At 51.3% G+C, this 3,793-nt stretch overlaps 1 pseudogene across 1 annotated transcript; it reads right to left on the bottom strand.

The window, feature by feature from the left end:
- Positions 1–1,095: 1,095 nt before the first annotated feature.
- On the bottom strand, positions 1,096–3,168 carry AOC4P (amine oxidase copper containing 4, pseudogene; annotated as a pseudogene). Its single transcript, NR_002773.1, has one exon. The product of NR_002773.1 is annotated as an amine oxidase copper containing 4, pseudogene (transcript).
- Positions 3,169–3,793: the final 625 nt, after the last annotated feature.

Raw genomic sequence — 3,793 nt, 5'->3', positions numbered from 1 at the left:
CATGGATGAACCTAGGGGACATTATGTTAATTAAATAAGTCAGATACAGCAGGACAATACTATATGATCTCACTTATATGTGGAATCTAAAAAAAGTTGAACTCATAGCAGTAGGAAATAGAATGGTGGTTATCAGGGCCTTAAGGAGGGTGGAGTTGGGAAGATGTAGCTCAATGAATAAAAAATTTCAGAAGTTCAAGAGATCTATTGGACTGGGCATGGTGGCTCATGCCTGTAATCCCAGCACTTTGGGAGGCTGAGGAGGGAGGATCGCTTGAGCCCAGGAGTTCAAGACCAGCCTGGGAAACATAGCGAGATCCCCATCTCTATAAAAAAAATTTTAAATTACCTGAGCATGGTGGCATGTGCCCATAGTCCCAGTGACTCAGGAGGCTGAAGTGGGAGGATTGCTTGAGCCCAGTAAGTTGAGGCTGCAGTGAGCTGTAATCACACCATTGCACTCCAGCCTGGGTGACAGAGTAAGACCCTGTTTCAAACAACAACAAAAACCCCAAAGAGATCTATTGTACAACATGGTGACTACAGTTAATATGTTATATATTCTTGAAAACTGCTAAGAGTAGATTTTAAGTGTTCTCACCACGAAAAAATGATAAGGGCTGAGCATGGTGGTTCACACCTGTAATCCCAGCATTTTGGGAGATCGAGGTGAGAGGACCACATGAGCCCAGGAGTTGGAGATTGCAGTGAGCTATTATCACACTACCTCATTCCAGCCTGGGTGATAGAGTGAGACCCTGTCTCAAAAAAGAAAAAAGAAAAAACAAAAGGTAAGAAAAAAAGAATGTAAACCATCTGAGAGCAACAATGTTGTTTCTTTTGTTAAATTGCATAGTTGGGTGCTTGGCACAAGTGTGCATTCATACATTTTTGTTGCTTGCTTGAATAATGTTGTTATATGAAAAAACAGAAGTGGCAAAACGTAGGTACATTATGATAACATTTGAATATAGAAATCTAAATACTTATATCAATATATCATATTTATACATAGTATACAATATAATAAATTCTATAATCACAGAGGTAATTTTTTAAAGCATGGAATACTTTTTTTTTTTGAGACAAAGTCTTGTTCAGTCACGCAGGATGGAGTGCAGTGGCTCAATCTCAGCTCACTGCAACCTCTGACTCCCAGATTCAAGTGATTCTCCTGCCTCAGCCTCCCGAGTAGCTAGGATTACAGCATACCCATGCCCAGCTAATTTTTGTATTTTTAGTACAGACAGGATTTCGCCATGTTGGCCAGGCTGGTTTTGAACTCCTGACCTCAAGTGATCCACCCCCCTCAGTCTCCCAAAGTGTTGGGCTTACAGGCATAAGCTACTGCTCCCAGCCCAACGAAAACTTTTAAAGCTAGGCATGGAGACTTCAGCTCACCCCTCCAGCACTTTTGCCTCTGCCAGGATGCCTTACCTGCTACATCCAGGTCCACCTTGAAGTGGGCGCTGTGGGTGTGGACCGTGCCCAGGGTGTGCTCTGAAACTTTGTTTCCATACCTCTGGGCAGCACCAAAGGGGAATGCTGAGCTGATGTAGCCGGTGGTGTGGAGTCTGATTTCTATGGCCCCATTAGGGTGGAAGACCATATCCCACACATAGTCATAGTTGAGCATAGTAGACACAGATCTGATGACCAGCACCGTTTCCGCAAGGCCCCCAAAGTAGTGGGAGTAGAGATCTGAGTGGTGTCGCCGCAGGGGGAGGCCCTGGTTCTGTTCAAATATACAAAAGGCATCGCGTATTGTCTTGGCGGCCTGGGACTCAAAAAGGAAGTGCCAGTCCACGTAGGTGGCCAGGTAGGGGCAGTCCACCCCATGGGTCAGGGGCGTGGAGAAGTGGCCCAAGCCAAAGCCACTATCTATGTACCGGCTTCGTAGAGCAGAAGGAGAATTGCCTCCATAGATGGCCAAGGCCGCCTGGACACTGACTTCATAGGCCACCCTCTCCCCTTGGAAGGGAACGTCAAAGATCCTTGGGCCACTGAATGCTCCGAGGCCAAAGGAGAAAGTCCACAGTGAGGAGGCCACTCGACTTCCCTGGACACTGAAGCGGGGGCCTTGGGGATGGAACTGCAGAGGGGGAGCTGGACCCGGGGGCACAGGGGACTTCAGGGACCAGGACCCACCTGTGCCATTGTCTGGGATCAGCACCACATTCACCAGGCCGGCCTCAAACTGGGCCTCCAGCTGGGCCAGGCTGTCATAGTAGCGGCCTTGATAGAACACCTTCTGGATAGTCCAGCGGGCAGGGTCAAGGGCCTTGTGGTTCACTAGCAGCTCCAAGCCCACGTGGTGCAGGAAGAACCCAGCGCCCGAGATGTTGTAGTAGAGGCCAAACTAGGTGGCCCGGTCCCCTGATTGCAGACCACGGGGAGCCGTGGTCATTGTCACCAGGTTCCGTCCCCGGCGCTTGTAGAAGCAACAGTGATGGAGAAGCCCAGAAGCCTGGGGCAGCTCTCTGTCGAAGATCATCTGGTCTATGTCCAGGTACTCTTGGAACAACATGGGGCGTCGGTGATAGGGCAGGGGGCCTCCATGACGCTCCACAGTCACGTCCCGCATGTAGGAGGGGTGAGGCAGTGGCCCCACCACCAGCTCACTCACGTTGGGCTGGGGTTGCCTGCCAAAGAAGACGATGGCCAGTGCCTCCCGGGCAGGTGGGGGGCTCCCCCTGTCCAAGTGAGCCAGGGCTGCAGCCTTGGGAGGCAGCTGCAACTCCACTGAGAAGACACAGTTGTCCGAGGGCTGGGCCTGGGCTGCATCCACCAGCCCTGGCCCCAGCTGCTGGGTCAGAAAGCGCATCACAGCCGTCAGCTCCTCTCGGCTCAGGTCTGCAAACAGCTGGCTCTGGCCAGGGTGTGTCCAAGGCTGGGCACTGGGAGATACGGAGGGGCAATGGGGAAGCTGGTTCAGCTTACATTCCCTCTCACCTCCTTTCTCACTCCCAGCCCCACCTTCACCCATGCCTGTCACCAGAACACTAAACAGGGACAAAATAATGAAGACAGCCATAGCTAAAGCTCCTGGGTCGTCTTCAGGCTCTTGGTTCTGAATGCAGAATACAAAATAGACAATGATAAACAGATAGAGAGGACCTGGGTGCAGGATGTTTCTCACAGCCTCTGGAGGGTCCTGGTGTGGTGCTGCTGGTCAAGAGGAATGATGGATATTGTGAAAAACCCCAAGGGCAGAGGGGTCAGGGGTGGAGCTAGAGGTGACTAGGAATCAGGTCGTGTTAAGGAGGTGGGGCAGAGTTAAACTTTGATTTTAAATGACCCACGTAAGCCTCTGTCCTCCTGTTCCAAATCAAACAACGTACTCAGGGTCAGGGTCAATGAACCAAGTAGGCAGAGAGGTGTGTTTTGGAGATAAGAGCTAGCAAGGTGCAAGAGGAAGTGGGGGGCGCCGACTGTCCTGCGGCTCTCCTTTCTTTTCCCTCCAGGTGGAACTTTTCTCCTGGCTGCAAGGCTGCAAGGGAAAATCACCTGGCCACACCTCCACAGCCAGATTCCCTCCTTCCCTCCTCTAGTTTTTGATGTCCTCCAGGCTCTGCCTCCCACCTCTCTCTCCTGCCTCCATCCATCCACTAGAATCCTAGCAGCAGCCTGAGGGAAGCCTGAGGGTAATGATGAGAAAGCAAAGCATCTAGCAGGGAGCTGGGGGGCTGAGAGGCTGAGCCAGGTCAGCTTTGTGGAGGCCCCAAGTGCCCTAAGTCACTGTAGGGGAGTGTGCAGGGTGCAGAACAAGCTAGAAGCTGCCTGGTTCATTGGG

The sequence above is a fragment of the Homo sapiens genome, chromosome 17, assembly GCF_000001405.40.
Source record: "Homo sapiens chromosome 17, GRCh38.p14 Primary Assembly".
NCBI lineage: Eukaryota > Metazoa > Chordata > Mammalia > Primates > Hominidae > Homo > Homo sapiens.
Note: the sequence above shows the minus strand (reverse complement) of the source record. Positions and strands in the feature narration are given on the sequence as shown.